At 44.2% G+C, this 16,688-nt stretch overlaps 1 annotated feature.

Moving 5' to 3' along the window:
• Positions 622-1,122: an enhancer, noted in NCBI's record as "H3K27ac hESC enhancer chr8:97351756-97352256 (GRCh37/hg19 assembly coordinates)". NCBI's record gives its function as "activates a minimal SCP1, AML or CMV promoter by ChIP-STARR-seq in naive H9 embryonic stem cells {active_cell/tissue: H9 hESC(naive)}" and the evidence as "EXISTENCE:reporter gene assay evidence [ECO:0000049][PMID:30033119]".

The raw sequence follows: 16,688 nt of genomic DNA on the forward strand, positions 1-16,688 counted from the left end.
AAGGAGCTGGTTCCCTGGTGACCGCCACACCTTTGCTCCTCCTCCTCCTCCTTGGAAGGAGACTCAGATCTCAGGTGCTTGCTTGATTAGAGATGGCCACACCTCCAAGCCACTCTTCAGGTGGCTCCAGGGGTGGTTGGCTGGTTGCGTGCTCTGTGGACAGAATAACTGGTGTTGGCCTTCGTTGTCTTTTGTGTCCTGTGAGTAGGCAGACTCCGGCCTTGACATCCCTGTGTTTCTGTGGCCTGAAATCAGTCGAGATGCCAGCTCTTGAACAGGGTCCCCATACTCCACGTGGATTCTTTTCCCAATGTTTTGACGCATTCTGCAAACTGTTGGAAGGCAATTTCTCTCCCCTGTAGCAGCTCCCTCTGCCCTCAGGAATGTGATTTACAATCTGATGAGGCCATAAACCTCTACTTTTCACGTCTGAAAAACAGCAAAGTATGGGAAAGAATGTAAATTATAAATACTGAATTCCTATGGTCAGCAATAATGGAATGGCCTGGGTGGGTTATTTTTTTTAATATGGTATGCATATGGCTTTAATTTCGAAGGGGTTGGGTCCTCCCCCACCACTGTATTTCTTGGGAGAACAGATAACAGCAAAATGTCCTGCTGTGATACGGTGTTTTTCCAAAATGAAAAAATAGCATCTTTCTGATGACTCACTGGCCAAATACTTTGAAAGGCCACTGTCCATGGAGGGGGATGGGATGGTAGGTGACAGTGACATTTCCATACTCACCACCCTGGTGATCTGGTGTCTGTCCACCCCAAAATAACCCCCAATGTTCTCACTTAGCAACCTCCCGCCACCCCACTTTAACTTTCTAGGAGGAGGTTTTCCTATGAGATTTTTGAAATTCTCTTCCCATCTCTCTTATCAGTTGAGGTTCTGCTCCCTAACTGGGAACAGACTTCTGATTGCCACCATGAGCAGGAAAGACAGCCACAAAGCCGAGAGGCTGTGCAGGTTTGAGTTTTCATTCCAGCGGTGGGTCAGCGCCTGGCTTAGATTTCACACGCTGGGCAGCAGCAGCCCTGCGCTTTGCTGAGGTGGGAAAGAGCCACCAATCACGGGGTGAATTCCTGCTGCTGTTCTCAGACCACAGAAGCCAATGTGTGGTATTGCTGTGCTGGTGTTCAGCACTTTTCCCCTTAAACCCTCGCTCGTCCCAGTTCAAAACGATGGGTGAAAGCTGAAAAAACACCCAGGGCCCAAAGTTCCCAAACTCCTGTTTTAACAGCCCACGCCTGCCGGAGCATCTATGACAAAGTGAACGGAGCTGTGTTTTTCTTGGTGTGGTCCGTTAAGTATGCTGACGGTGGAGGAGTGTGCATGAGAATAGGATGCCTGAAATCGCAAACATATCCACCCACAGAAACACATAATCTCACAAACACCTATTCACTCAACACTCACCCTTTGTGTCTTCCTGCCGCTTTCTCTGGACTACATTTGAGTCACAAAATCCCAGGCTCAGCTTGAGTGCAATCACAAATGTATCCACCTACAGAAACGCATAATCTCACAGATACCTATTCACTCACATACTCACCCTTTGTGTCTTCCCGTCGCTTTCTCTGGACTGCATTTGAGTCACAAAATGCCAGGCTCAGCTTGAGTGCAAGGCTAGCCAGACCACACACAGGGCATGAAGGAGAGGCCGTTATGGTTCTCGGTAACATCCACGTATGTTTCTATGCTTTGGCCACCCAGATCACCTCAGCTGCAGGTCCATTCATCAATATTACGTATCTGCCAAAGAGTTTTTGTTTATGTACATCTAAGAAATTTCAACAGAAAGGAGATAAGCCCAACACCATTATCCATTTAAAAAAAAAAAAGTACACATCTTGTTCTCACTTATAAGTACCCTTGTCCAGGCGTGGTGGCTCACGCCTGTAAACCCTGCACTTTGGGAAGCCGAGGCAGGTGGATCACTTGAGGTCAGGAGTTCAAGACCATCCTGGCCAACATGGTGAAACCCCATCTCTACTAAAAATACAAAACATTAGCCAGGCATGGTGGCAGGTGCCTGTAACCCCAGCTACTCGGGAGGCTGAGGCAGGAGAATTGCTTGAACCTGGGAGGCGGAGGTTGCAGTGAGCCAAGATCGCACCACTGCACTCCAGCCTGGGTGACAGAGTGACTCAGTCTCAAATAAATAAATAAATAAATACCCACTAAGCAATGGGTATACATGGACGTACAGAGTGAAATAATAGATGCTGGAGACGACAGAAGGTTGTCGGAGAGGGTTGAAAAATTGCCTGTTGTGCACGGTGTCACTTCGGGTGATGGGTGCACTAAAAGCCCAGGCTTCACCACTCCTTCATACATGCATGTATGAAGTCTGTACTTGTACCTCCTAAATACACAAATTTTTTAAAAATTAATAATAAAAAGCTGGCTTAAAAGCAACAGTGGCAGCCAGGCATGGTGGCTCATGCCTGTAATCCCAGCACTTTGGGAGGTCAAGGCAGGTGGATCACCTGAGGTCAGGATTTCGAGACCAGCCTGACCAATGTGGTAAAACCCCGTGTCCACTAAAAGTACAAAAAAAAAAAAATAGCTGGGTGTGGTGGCATGTGCCCGTAATCCCAGCTACTCGAGTGACTGAGACAGGAGAATTGCTTGAACCCAGGAGCAGAGATCACGCCACCGCACTTTAACCCGGGTGACACAGCGAGACTCCATCTCAAAAATAATAAATAAATAAATAAATAAATAAATAAATAAATAAATAAAAGCAACAGCGGCTTCCCTTTGGTCCAGATGGTGCCCTCTTGTGTAAATAGTGTTGTTAAATGAATGCCCATCAGCTGGAGGACACTCGATGACACACTGGAATGTGGAAAGAGCAGGGCAGATGAAAGAATCACCAAACACCTTCTGAATGAGCACTCACATCAGTCAACAGGAAGCCTCCACTGTACTGTGATCAGTTTTCGCTTTCAAGTGATTGACTATTATGTTAATAGATTATGAAATGGAAGTGATCAAAAAAAATGGAGGCATCAGCCTTGTATTTGAAGTAAGTTTTGTAAGTAAATCTTATAAAGGAAAATGACAGAATCAGAGTTCTGGAGTAACGGATGCTCCAAAATGTGATTGTTGGCCTGTAAATTATCTTGTATTGTCACGGGTTTTTCAGGCGACATTGCTGCGAGCAGCAGAATTGCCTTTTAGGTTTGGAACAATGGTGTAAACACAACTTCTGGCGCTCTGTTTCAGAGCTGGCCAGCTTCATGAAATCTCGCCCAAAATGGGTATGACAGAGTTGGCCCAAGGACAGAAACAAGGGTCTACATCTTGTGTGAGATCCACTGCGCCAACCTTTCTCATTTATACTGTTTTAGCCCTTGATTTTTAAATATTGCAAACGGTTGTATCATGTTGAAAAAAATTCTTTATTGTCCAGCTGCTCCGACTGGGAGAGGGAAAAGGAATATTGAGATTTTCCAAATAAATTGTTTAATATTTAACATGTTGACATCGCCTTTGTGCTGTTGAGTTGCTAATGTGACTGGCACGTGATGTTTTTACTCTCCTTGGCAAAATAATTTCTATCAAAGCTAATGCTTCCTTAGGCTGTGTGCCATGCACCTTACTTTGTGCTTTTCGTGGATTTTCTGATTTATTCCTCGCAAGATCTTCACTGATGTTGCCCCATTTTACAGGTGGAGAAACGAGAGGTTTGAAGAAGTTAAGTGACTCAGGTAATCTTCTAGAATGCAGATCTTGATCCTCTACCTGAGATGTGATAGTGTAAGAACTCTAGCTCACACACCAAATTTTTCTGGTTCAGACCCTGCCCCTACCACTAACAAACTGTTTAACTTTGGGCAACTTATTTCATCGCTGTGCCTCAGTTTCATCCTCTGAGAACCAGGAATGATAATACCTACCTCATAGGGTTGTTAAGAAGAAATCCCAAACGCATCTTTTACAAGCACATATAACAGTGTCCAGCCTGTCATGAGTGTTCAATAAATATGTGCTGTTATCACTGTTACACTGACTGCCTCTTTGGAGGCAGGGAAACATTAAGAAGCAATTGTGATAAACTAAGCAGGAGCTGGTGAGGACCTGAACTAGGGCAGCCTTTGGATGGAGAGGAAGAAACAAACCAGAGAGACCTTACAGAGAGAAGCAGTGGGGCTTGATGCCCAATGAGAGGGATTCAGGATAAAGCCCATACTCTGGCATCTCAAGGGAGCACCAGGATCCCACCCAGCTGTGTGTCCAGCATCAGCTCCTGCTGATCCCTACATCTCCACGCTTCTCCCTTATACTTAGCACTGTGGAACCACTGGGCCTCCGCACAGCCCACCAAGTGCACCACACTCCCAGGCTCCTGCCTGGAATGCCTGCCCCGGGCATTCTGCCTGGCAAGTTCCACTTGTCCCTCAAGTCTCAGTGCAAATACTCTACACTCTGTTTCTGTGAAACTCCCCTCATCCCCTATGCACTTGGAAGTGCTCTCCTGTCCTGTTATTCACCTCTTTCATACCGGTGCTGTTGCGGATCTCAACTACACTCCAGGCTCCTTGGGTGTTCATCCCCAGCACCTACACAGCAGGTGTTCAGTAAATGCTCTCAGAGTGAGATTGCAGGACAGAGGGCACAGACTAACCCTCCCTGGATGTGACACTTCCGGTGTGGGTTGTTCGGGTTCCCTCTGATTATGTAGAAATGTTGTAAGTGTCCTCTGGCCCATGCGCCCCTCAGCCTGCATGTGGTGGTTGGGTCCTGCCACCTCCACTTCTTTAGCTGGCACATTCAGCTGTGTCCGAGGGCCCACACCTGGTATTGCTTACTTTTTTCTTGTAAGACCTCCACCAACTGTAGAAATTGATAGCCCCTGCTTTGGCATGCTAATCAGAAAATACCTTCTTTCCAAGTTTCTTAAAACTTCCTTCTTTGGGGTAATGACTGAGGATCAATTTCTGATCATTAGTACTTGAGCTGGGACAGGTGCCAAGGCATCCACTCTCCTCCACCAGTACCTGCTTTGATCTTGCCAGATCCCAAAGAAGGCTGTGATTTTCTCCCTTGGATACCAGTTCATGGGTATAACTCAAACTTCAGGTTTTGTGGGGCTCTCCATTTGGGGTTCACAATTCTAGAGGTTCTTTAATAAAAATAATATCCAAAAGCTCTTATTCTTGAAATTTCACAAAAATGAATGCCATGTGGCTCCATTGCTAGACTAATTCCCAGGGTCTTGGAAGATGCACATGCAAAGGAAGGGAGGGGACTCAAGAGCATAGCTTCATTAACTTCACAGTGAATCCACCTCTAATATAACCAGGATAACTCGCTTTGCCTGCTTGGAGTTTAAGTAAGCCACATCTCATATTTTTCCAATTAACTGCTCAAATCCCGAGATGCCATTACCAGCCGGAAGTGCAGCATATCCCTGCTGAAGCCTTCCACCACACCCAAATTCTCTCTTTTTTTTTTTCAAGACAGAGTCTCACTCTGTCGCCCAGGCTAGAGTGCAATGGTGCGATCTCGGCTCACTGCAACCTCCGCCTTCCAGGTTCAAGCGATTCTCCTGCCTCAGCCTCCTGAGTAGCTGGGATTACAGGCATGCACCACCACGCCTGGCTAATTTTTGTATTTTTAGTAGAGATGGGGTGTCACCATGTTGATCAGGTTGGTCTCGAACTGCTGACCTCGTGATCCACCCGCCTCAGCCTCCCAAAGTGCTGGGATTACAGGCGCAAGCCACCACGCCCGGCCCAAATTCTCTTAACACTAGGGATTTATTCCACCCACTGGGGTTGGAGAACTGGGCGGTCCCACCAACCTGGGGGCACTATGAGGTAAGCACTCTGCTCCACAGGCTCAACCCAGGGCAGTGAACGGTTGTCCTCTCTGGCATGATACTGTTTTCCATTTCCACCCCACTGTGATAGTGTTTTAGCTTGGGTGGCTGGGTGGCACTATGCCTGGAAGTCACTCCCAAAGCACAAGACAGTGCCAGGGAGGTTGGAAGTTCAAGCCTCAAACACAGTCTACTCCAGACCCAGCCCTTGCCCCACGAGGAGCCCAATTTTCCAGCCAGGCACCCCCTTGACTCATGAGGAATCTTCCTTTGTGGCCTTGGCATCCACCCAGAATCAACCTAATCCATCCAGGAGATCCCCATAAGGGCTACCTCAAAAGGAAAGAGGTGGAACCGTTGGCCTCTGGAGATTTGTCACTTCCCCGGAACACTTGCTGATGGAGAGTATTGCAAGTGGGTGCTTCGCTGGGCCACAAAAGCAAAACAAAAAGTTCTGCTGCAGCAGGTCCCCGAGTTCCACTTTTATGGCTCCTTGCCCGTAAGGAGCTGGCTGGATCCACTTCAGTGCATCTGACAGTTCCATACCAGAGCTGCTTCCTTCCTGATGGAATCCACCGCCCCTCTGGTTTTCAGATGGGACTGCAATGTTTGTCGGGGGTTTTCCGGAGCTTTGCTGAGCCCCAGGGTCTAGGCTGCCAGGGGCTGCATCTGCTCTGCATCTAGGGAAGATGTTCTTCCTTCTGTGTCTTCTGAGGCTTAGTTACTGCTCTGATCAAAAAAGAGTCTAAAGAAAAGGCACTTCCATTGGCGGTTCTCCCCAAACTGAACTAATTATCTTTCATCCTCCTAACTCTATCCTGTCATGGTGAGTTTAGGTTGGGGAGCTATTAAATGATCATCCCTCCTGCATCCGCTTACTGCAAGCTTTCCAGACAGGCAATGATGGACCACTGAGAACATTTTATCCCTGAACAAAACACATTAGTGTTTTTTGAAAATGTGTTCTCTCAAGAAAGCCAGCCCCATGTGCAACAACCTCCATTTCCAAGCAAGTAACTGTGTTAATCTGACTTCTCCCTAGTGTTAACTGAGCCAAACGTGAATCACTCACTTGGCCACAGGGAGAGGTGGACTCGTCGTTCTGTAAGATTACAATCCCATAATCTGCCTCCTGATCTCTTCTGCTGATGGAAGCCAGAGTCTGGGCTCCATTAAAAGATGACTGGGGAAATAAAACAGAATAGCACATTTTCACCTTCTTTCCGATCCAAGGAGAGTTGCTCCCAGATGCTGTATCTGCAGTCCAGCTTCTGACTTGCAAACAGTTCAAGAAGGAGGCTGTGGCCTGGATGGCAGAACACCCTGTATGAGATAGCTGTCACATGCAAACACGTGCACATGCAGACAGGGGAGACAAGGAGCAACGAAGAAGTTTGAAGGAGGGGGCTCAGGGTCAAGCCTTGGTTGAATCCCTTACATTGCAAAGGTTAAGACACTGAGGCCCAGAGTAGTGCAATGACTTGGCCAGGGCCACAGAGCTGGTGATAGCAGAGCCAGGGTTCAGGCCACCTTCAGATTCCTCCTCCTAGCTTCTTGCCCTTATACACCATGTCCACCCAAGAGCCACTAAATATGAACCACACATTGCTTGTGCAGCCTTGGGGCTTCATACACTTAGGGAATGTGCCCTTTCTACCAAACTTCTTTTTCTCTTCCCTGACACCACATTTCTCATCTTCAGAAGCCTGCTCCACTCTCTGAAGCCTTCTGTCACTGACTAACAGTTCAGAACTTTAAAGGGCATGTATACACAAAAACAGAATGCACCCAGCCAAGGATGCTTATCAAGAGTGGCAAAAAAAACCCGCAAAAGGAGAGTATCAGGAGTGGCCAACCCTGGGGTGATTTGAGGTGTTTAGAAAAAGCAAACGACTATTATTTAAAAGGAAATGGGCACAGCTTACAAACTCCACATATAGAACAAGAGTAGGAGACAAAAGAATGGGTGTTCACTCCTTGGGAATAGAGTTCAATCTGACTGTTTCTCTCTCACTGCTGCAGTTCCTTCTGTGATTTCTCTTTTCTCTTTATCAGGGCTCATAAGCCATGCTCTGGCCCTCCCTCATGTCCCTGGTCCCTTTCTCCCCTCATCTCTGTCCCCGGCCATTCTGGACTGTTTCCATTGCTCGAATATTCATCAGGGTCTTTTTCGTCACACCCTTCCCCCTACCCCGCCACTAGGAAGCTCATCTTCACCCTTTCATTCTCAATCAGAACAGTTCTGTAGCAAGACATGCAGGCTAGCTCGTTACCCCCATGGCATCTACCTCCTTTTGTGAGTAAAGTGAAAATCTGAGGGAGCACGAGTCAGGAATCTGCCTTGACCATGAACCTGAGTTGTTTAGATTTCGTTTATATGTTCTCCATCAAGAGAATCCCATTCAAACTAGAAAAGGCGGTGCACACATGGATAGAAGAGAACTGAAGCCCACAGTGGCAGCTGACTGTGTCAGGTGCAGTAAATATCATGCTTCTGTTGCAGTAAATATCATGGTGCTGAAGTTCATAGTTGTGGTGGGTTAAACCCCGAGAAACAAGAATGTATTGTATCAGGAGAGAGAAGAGAAAAAATAGATTTTGAAAACTGCAGGTCAACAAGCGTGGTCTTAATCCACAGTAAAATTCTAGAGCAGATTATTAAAGGGTGGTCTGTGACCATCTTTATAGAAGCAAGCATTGATCACTGGGCATTAGCAGAGGTTCACTAAGAACAAGCCATGCAGAGCTAATGTTGTATTGCTTTTACACGTAGTTATCAGATTGGTAGATCAAGGGAATACTACAAATGAGCAAAGAGCAGAGTACAAATCCCACCTAAGCAAAAATAAAATAAAATAAAGGACCTACCTCAACTTTGAGAAACACAGTGTGCTACTGTAGTTTCTCTTGAAGATTCACAGGACACATTAGCACATTAAAGGTTCTGAGAAGTCCTGCACCAAAAAACCTATTTAATACCATCCCACTGATCAAGCATTCTACAGAACACACTCGGAAAAAAAAGAGGATGTTTTGGATGAATTCCAGCAGGTGTTTTGCAAAGCTTTTTATTACATAAACTGTGAGGAGGTAGAGAAATGAAATGTGGAGTTAAAAATAACTCACTGGAATCACAGCTGGGTAGACAACTGTACTGAAAGAGCATTAATTAATCGATGAATTGCCACCCTGTTGGAGGTGTCCAGTGGATGTCTCAAGGCTCTGCTCTTGGTCCTGGCATGTTCAACATTCTTATCAGTGACTTGTATCACAACATTGAAGACTTACTTTTAAAATGTTCAGATAGCCTAAAGCCAGAGAAGCAGCGAATATGCTGTTTAACAAATTGAAATACTCTCTCAAAACCAATAAATGAATCCAACAGGATCCCATTGAGACTTATTAGAAGCAATGGTGTAAGTAAGGGATGGATGAAATGTGACTTGAAACCAGCTCATATGAAAAAGACCCAGGTTGCAGCTACATCAAGATCAGCCCAAGCCAAATGTGTGACAGGTCTACTATGCTTCTTAAGTCAGCGAAGCCATCCTGGGCATGCAAATGGCGTGCAGGGCAAGCAAGCTAGGCAGGATGGTCTGGCCACACTGGGTATTGAATTCTGGTCTTATGGTGCATTTCAAGAGGGACATTGACAAACTGGAGCCTGTTCAGAGAATAACCAACATCAGGAGAGGTCTAGAGAACTTGTATGCTGAGAAGGAAAGTCTGTAGAAACCAGGGATATTTAGATGGTCTATAAGAGAAGATGAGGAGCATGGTGATGACAACTGGCTTTGAGAGGCAGTGTAGTGTAGTAGAAAAGAGGTGAGTTTGTGTTCAAATCTCTGCTCCAGTACTTCCAACTGTGTAACTTAGACAAGTTTCTTAATATCTCTAATGACTCTTAATGTCTCTAATGACTCTTCAGAGTCCTTAGATGAGAAACCATCATCCCTATTGAGTGGCACTATTGGAATGTGTTTGGAGCAGAGTAAGTGGTCAACACATGCTTGTCTTCCCTTTATCCATGTGAAGAATGGCAGTCACGGCAATGAGAAGGGTGACTATTTGCTATAGATTTGTGGGGAAAATTGGGACCAATAGGAGAATTCCCCAAAGGGAGACAGATTTGGTGATGAAAGGCAGGAACTTTATAATAACCAAAAACCTGGAAATCAAAAGAACTGGCTCACTGCCTTTAAGTTGACACTGGAACTTCCACAGATACTTGTAGAAGAGATCTCTGTTTGGGGTGAGAGGTGGGATTAGATGACCCCCCAGATCCCTTTCAACTCTAAAATCCTGTGATTCAAAGATACAGCCAGACTATTTATTGTTCTCTTCTGTATGTAGTTAACTCATATATTCACCCTCCCCATTCATGTATAGTACAGTGATACTTATATGTACTTACTTAAAGTTATTCCTTGGCCATTCCCCATGTATGGGTTTTTCTCTCTCCTCTATTAGTGTTCACATTACAGCCTCGTTCAGGAGCTTGTCCAAAGTGGGCACTTAATAAATGTTAATAGACTAATAAGAGAGGTCTGCGTAGAGTGATGACTGTGAGTCATTACTCATAATGACTCATACAGGCATATATTTGAACTCATACTGTATGACTCCTTTGGACTCATACAGGCATGTATTCAAATCTTGGCTCTACTTCTTGGGCAAGTTTCTGTCTGGGCCTCTATGTCCTCATCTATGAAATGGAGATAGTAATATTAGCTTTATCAGATGAAATGAAATAAGTTTGTTTTAAGTCCTTGGAAAAACAGTAAGTATACAGTAGATGGCAGATAGAATTATTTTTGTTGTTGCTACCAGAGTGAATGTAAATCTATTTAATACTTATACAGGGGTTTTCTGACTACACAGTAAGAGGCATAGGAACAAATGGGTTCTTCCTGCACCTACTTGTTTCAAAACATTTTCTCCTAAACAGTGTTCTTGTTTATACCCCAAAGCCTTCTTAAGTCTATTCTCCCATTCCTAGCAGCGTATATGATTGGCACAAAGAGGAACCAATTGGAAATGAGCAAAAATGGAGAGACTGAAGTGGGCATGACTTTAGCCTAGCCAGAAAATCTATGCCAAGGCCCAAGCTGGTCTGAGGCATCCTCATGGGGAGTACCTGGTGTGCAGTCTGCCCCTGCTGGCTACCGAGGGGGCCTCCAGCTGTGGCCACTGGAGAATTGGCCCTGCCATCACCCTCTTGTTGTGCTCTGCAGAACAGGGGAAGTGTCCAAATGAGCATTCCCTCGGGGGCCCTGTGAGCCCCTCCAGATAGGTCCTGACCTTGGTTAGGCCTAGCCCAGCATGGACCATGGCCTGAACTGCAAGATAGCCGACAAGAAAGTAAGGGAGAATAAAGCACAGATGCTTTGTAAAGTTTGTAATTATGGTAAAAAACACATAACATAAATTTTACTGTCTTAATCATTTTTATGTATACAGTTCAGTAGTGTTAAATATATTCATATTGTTGTACAACAGAGCTTCAGAACTCATTCATCATGTAAAACTTGTGAAACTAGGCTGGGTGTGGTGGCTAACACCTGTAATCCCAGCACTTTGGGAGGCTGAGGTGGGCGGATCACCTGAGGTCAGGAGTTCGAGACCAGCCTGACCAACATGGTGAAACCCCGTCTCTACTAAAAATATTTTTAAAAACTAGCCAGGGGTGGTGGTGGGCGCCTGTAATCCCAGCTACTCAGGAGGCTGAGGCAGGAGAATTGCTTGAACTCAGGATACGGAGGTTGCAGTGAGCTGACACGGTACCATTGCACTTCAGCCTTGGCGACAGAGTGAGACTCCATCTCAAAAAAAAAAAAAAAACTTGTGAAACTAAACTCTTACCCATTAAACAACTCCCCACTTGCCACCCCTCCTCGTTCCCAGCAACTGTCATTCTATTTTCTGTTTCTATGAATTTAACCACTTTAGATACCTCGTATGAGTAGAATCACACTTATCTTTTTTGTGTGACTAACTTATTTTTCTCATCGTAACATCCTCAAGGCTCATTATTATTAACCTCAGCGGCATTATTCACAACAGCCAAAAGGTGGAAGCAACCCAAGTGTCCATCAGTTAATGAATAGGTAAACAAATATAAACAAATTGTAGTACATCCATACAATGAAATATTGTTTGTCCATAAAAAGGAATAAGGTACTGACATGCCACAATGTGGATGAACCTTAAAAACACTATGCCACTTGAAAGAAGTCAGTCACAAAAGGCCACATGTTATATGATTACATTCATATGAAACTCCAGAAGAGGAAAACCTGTAGAGACAGTAAGTGGATTAGTGGTGGGCAGTACTAATGGGAGACTGAGGCAGGAAGATTGCTTGAGCTCAGAAGTTCACTACCAGCCTGGGCAACATAGCAAGACCCCGTCTCTACAAAAAAAAAAAAAAAAAACAACCAAAAAAATTAGCCCAGCATAGTGGCATGCACCTGAAGTCTCAGCCACTGAGGAGACTGAGGCAGGAGGATGGCTTGAGCCTAGGAGATTGAGGTTGCAGTGAGTCATGATTGTCCTCCTGCACTCCTGCCTGGGTGACAGAGCAAGACCCTATCTCAAAAAAAAAAAAAAAAAAAAAGTAGATTAGTGGTTGCCTAGGACTACAGGGAGGGGGCAGTGGAGGTGGAGTGATAGCTAAAAAGTACAAGAGTTCCTTTCTGAACTGATAAAAATGTTCTAAAATTGACTGTGGTAATGGTTACACATATCTGTGAATATAGTAAAAACCACTGAATTGTATACCTTATTTTTTAAACCACTGTATTGAAGTATGACTGATATACGAAAAGTTGTATGTATTTAATGGGGATAAGAATACACTCAAGAAACCATCACCACAATCAAAGCCATAAACTTATCCATCACCTCCAAAAGTTGCCTTCTGCCTCCTTTATGTATTTATTTATTTTAATTAAATTTTTTTCTTTTGTGGCAAGAGTACTTAACATAAGATCTACCTTCTGAGGAAATTTTTAATTATACAATACAGTATTGTAACTGTTGGCTCTATGTTGTACAGTAGATCTCCAGATTTATGCATCTTGCATATCAGAAACTTTGTACCCTTTGAACAATACCCCCCCAATCTTCCCCACCCAGCCCCTGATAACCACTATACTACTCTGATTCTATGAGTTTGACTATTATAGAGTTGTCATAAAAGTGGGGTTGTGCACCCTTTGTCTTTCTGTATCTGGCTCATTTCATTTAGCATAACTTCCTCCAGGTCTATGTTGTTGCAAATGAGAGAACTTCCCTCTTTTTTAAAGTCTGACTAATATCCTACTGTATGTATGTACCACATTTTTAATCCATTCATCCATTAATGGACACTTAGGTTGATTCCATATCTTGGCTATTGTGAGTAATGTTGCAGTGATTATGAGAGTACAGATATCTCTTCAGAATCCTGACTTCAACTCCTTTGGATGTATACTCAGAAGTGAGATTGCTGGATCATACAGTCATTCTATTGTTAACTTTTCAAGGAAATTCCATACTGTTTTCCATAGTGTTTGCACCAATTTACATTTCCACCAACAGTGTACAAAGCTTCCCTTTTCTTCACACCCTCACCTTTACACTCACAGACTGATATCTTTCGGAGTTTTTTGATAATAGCCATTCTAACAGATGTGAGGTGCTAGCTCATGACTTTGATTTGCATTTCCCTGATGATTAGTGATGTTGAACACCTTTTCATATACTTGTTGTTCATTTGTATGTCTTCTCTCGTGAAATATCTATTCAAGTCCTTTACCCATTTTTACATAGGGTTATTTGTTTTTGTTTTTGTTTTTGTTTTGCTATTGAGTTGTGTGAGTTCTTTATATATTTTGTATATTAACTTCTTATCAGATAAATGATTTGCCAATACTTCCTTCCATTCTGTAGTTTGCTTTTTCACTCTGTTGGTTGCTTCCTCTGTTATATAGAAGCTTTTTAGTGTGATATAATCCCATGTTTCTCTTTTTGTTTTTGTTACCTGTGTTTTTGTGTCATATCCAAGAAATCATCGCCAAGTCCAATGGCTGGAAGTTCTTTCCCTGTTTTCCTCTAAGAGTTTTATGGTTTCCGGTTTTACATTTAAGTCTTTAATCCACTGTGAGTTGATTTTTGCATGTGGTGTGGAATTGTGCACTTTACACGGGTAAATTGCACAGTACATGAATTATGTCTTGATAAAGCTGGTTTTTAAAGAAGACCCACACGTGGGAGCAGCACTGAGGGGACCTGGTGCTGATTTGGAGGAGGATTCGGCCTCTCATTTCTGTTTTCTCTGTGCTTCTGCTTCATCCTTCTTCCTGTCTGAGCCGGGCTTTCTCTACTGGCTCTCTCTCTGCCCAAGGAGAAAAGTGGCTTACTCTACATTCCAGCCAGCTGCAGTGGCCATTAAGTAGAATCTCTCACCTGATTTCCAATTTCCTGGACAGAGACGTGTTTACCCAGCGTGGTCAGTGCCAGGAAGCAGGGCTGCCTGGTTCTTGCAGCCAGCACCCCCCTTAGTAAAACTGTGCAGGGTTTTTACTGTGCAGAGGAGCAGTTCTGATCCTCAGAGGTAACAAAAGTCAATTTTCAATGTTTTCTAGACAGAACCACCATGCAGTGAGCACCTTCCATGTGCCCTGTACTGTGTCAACTCCTTTCACCTTTCTAACCCCATTTAATCTCTGCTCGACACTGTATGAAAGCATGTGCTGACTCAAAGAAAACATTCTCAATTGGGTTCAACTTGTGGCACATGCATAATGTCATATCAAGGCCACAGCTGGTAAAATCATCTACCCAAGGGTAGCAAGGGGCCTCCTGCAATGGGATTACCAGCCACAGAATCTGGTTACCAGAGGGTGGTGTATTTAGCTCACCAAAACACAGGGCTGGGGCTTACTCATGGTTAGTGAGCCACCGCAGCCAAAAGAGAGGTGTTTCTAAAATGTGCTTTAAAACCCAATCTACTGGGAAGAGAGTCTGTTGCAAAAACCTATGTGGTTTTCGAACATTAGTAATCTGTGTGTGCCTTATTTAGAAGTCCTCTTTGGCCTTTGGTTATCCAACATCACTCTTGAGAAAGAATGGGTGCTAGTTCCTGAGGCTGAAGATGGGGAGTGAGACACAAGGAAAATCCACATTTTTAACTTAATCAGTGTCTGTGGAGTAGGCAGAATCCAAATCCAAACCACGTTTTCCAAAAAGATTTTCCTTTTTAATTCTTAAATCCATGTGTATTATATGAGAAATCTAATCCGTATGTTTCTTACTCATTTACACTTAGCTCATCAAAGCGTTTTCTCTGAAGAACTATTTGATGTCCAAGGAGACTGTAGAGACTTTTTTCCTTTTAACAAGACTTTGTTCTTAGAAATAAAGAAGCTGCTGAAGTTGTATATGCAAAGGATAAATGAACTTGAACCCCAGAAAGGTTAAACTTTGTTTCAAGTAGGTTCTGTATTCTGAAGAAACAACTTTGGGAATGAGCTCTTTTTCAAGTTTTGTTTTTTGGTAGGGGAGGGGAAGGGGCCTCCACTTGGATGCTTGAATTTTTTATGCCAAAAGAATTCCCCCTTCAATGGATGGTAGGCACTATTAGGGAATCAAGTCCATCTCCTCAAGGCACTCTGAGACGGTCTTCAACTTTTAGTCAGCAGAGACCACACTTAATATTGATCTCTATCTGGTAATTCACGGCAAAATCTGCACAGAGGGAGATGCATCCTTCTGAGAGTCCAGCATGTGTGTTGGGAAGAACAGAGCCCACTGATGAGAGAAGTGCCATGAAACCATCGGCTGGGCCACCTCACCTGTCCTCTAAGCAAGACCACACCCAAGCCAGCTCAGATAAAGTGAGCTAATAATTAACTTCTTTCATCCCCCACACTCTGAGATTTCTTCCTGAATTTGTGAACATTTGTCTCTATCCTTCACTCATGTCACATTTCATTGCCTGTCTCCTAGTATAGCAGTGACCTGGGGCTATAGGGGATGGGAAGAGGTGCAAGATGCTGTTCTTGTCCCTGAGAGGTTCATCATTTATTTCACTGAGATACAAAAACCCAACTGAGAAGATCATCAGATGTGCTCTTGGTGAGTGTTCGGGACTTCCAAGAAGGGAAGGATGGCCAGGGAGTGACAAAATGGGAAAAGCTTCCCAGACCAGGTGGGCCCTGGAGTTGTGAATGACAGCCTGAGCATTGATGCAGCCATATCCAGGAGAAGACACTAGGCACCCAGGGCTGGCATGCATCGGACACTCCTTCAAATTGATGTGTTAAAAATCTTTGCTTGAATTTCACCTGCTAGAGAGACTGAGGCTGAGTGCAGAGGGCATGCAGGACTGAGGGGCCAGGGCGGACAGTCTCTATGGCCTCTGCAGTTCCCAAACACATCCACCCCACCCGCAAAACCAGAGCTGTACAGTCAGTTACCTGCTGGCTCAGTGCCCATCAGTTATTACTTCTCATGGCCCTCGGGAACTTTACAGTCCACCGAAAGTGCTGTTTTTGTTTTCTAGTAAATACATATTTTTTTGTCTTAGTCCATATCTAGTGAAATGAGGTCTTAGCTCCCCTTATGGTCTGTTATGGGATAACTGTCTGACTGAGATGACAGGAAATTTGTGCAAATATTTGGCTCAATGTGTAGAGAGAAGGAACAATGCTGAAGAAGAGAAAACATGGTCTAGGGACCCAGCAGTGGCTGTTTCTCCTACAAGCCAGCCTAGTCCTTGGTGTCTTACAAGCACATTCTTAATTATCTATAACAGCACCACAGAGCACATATGGTGAAGCCTATTTTATAGAGGAAGAAGGAGGT

Source organism: Homo sapiens, chromosome 8 (genome assembly GCF_000001405.40).
Source record: "Homo sapiens chromosome 8, GRCh38.p14 Primary Assembly".
Lineage (NCBI taxonomy): Eukaryota > Metazoa > Chordata > Mammalia > Primates > Hominidae > Homo > Homo sapiens.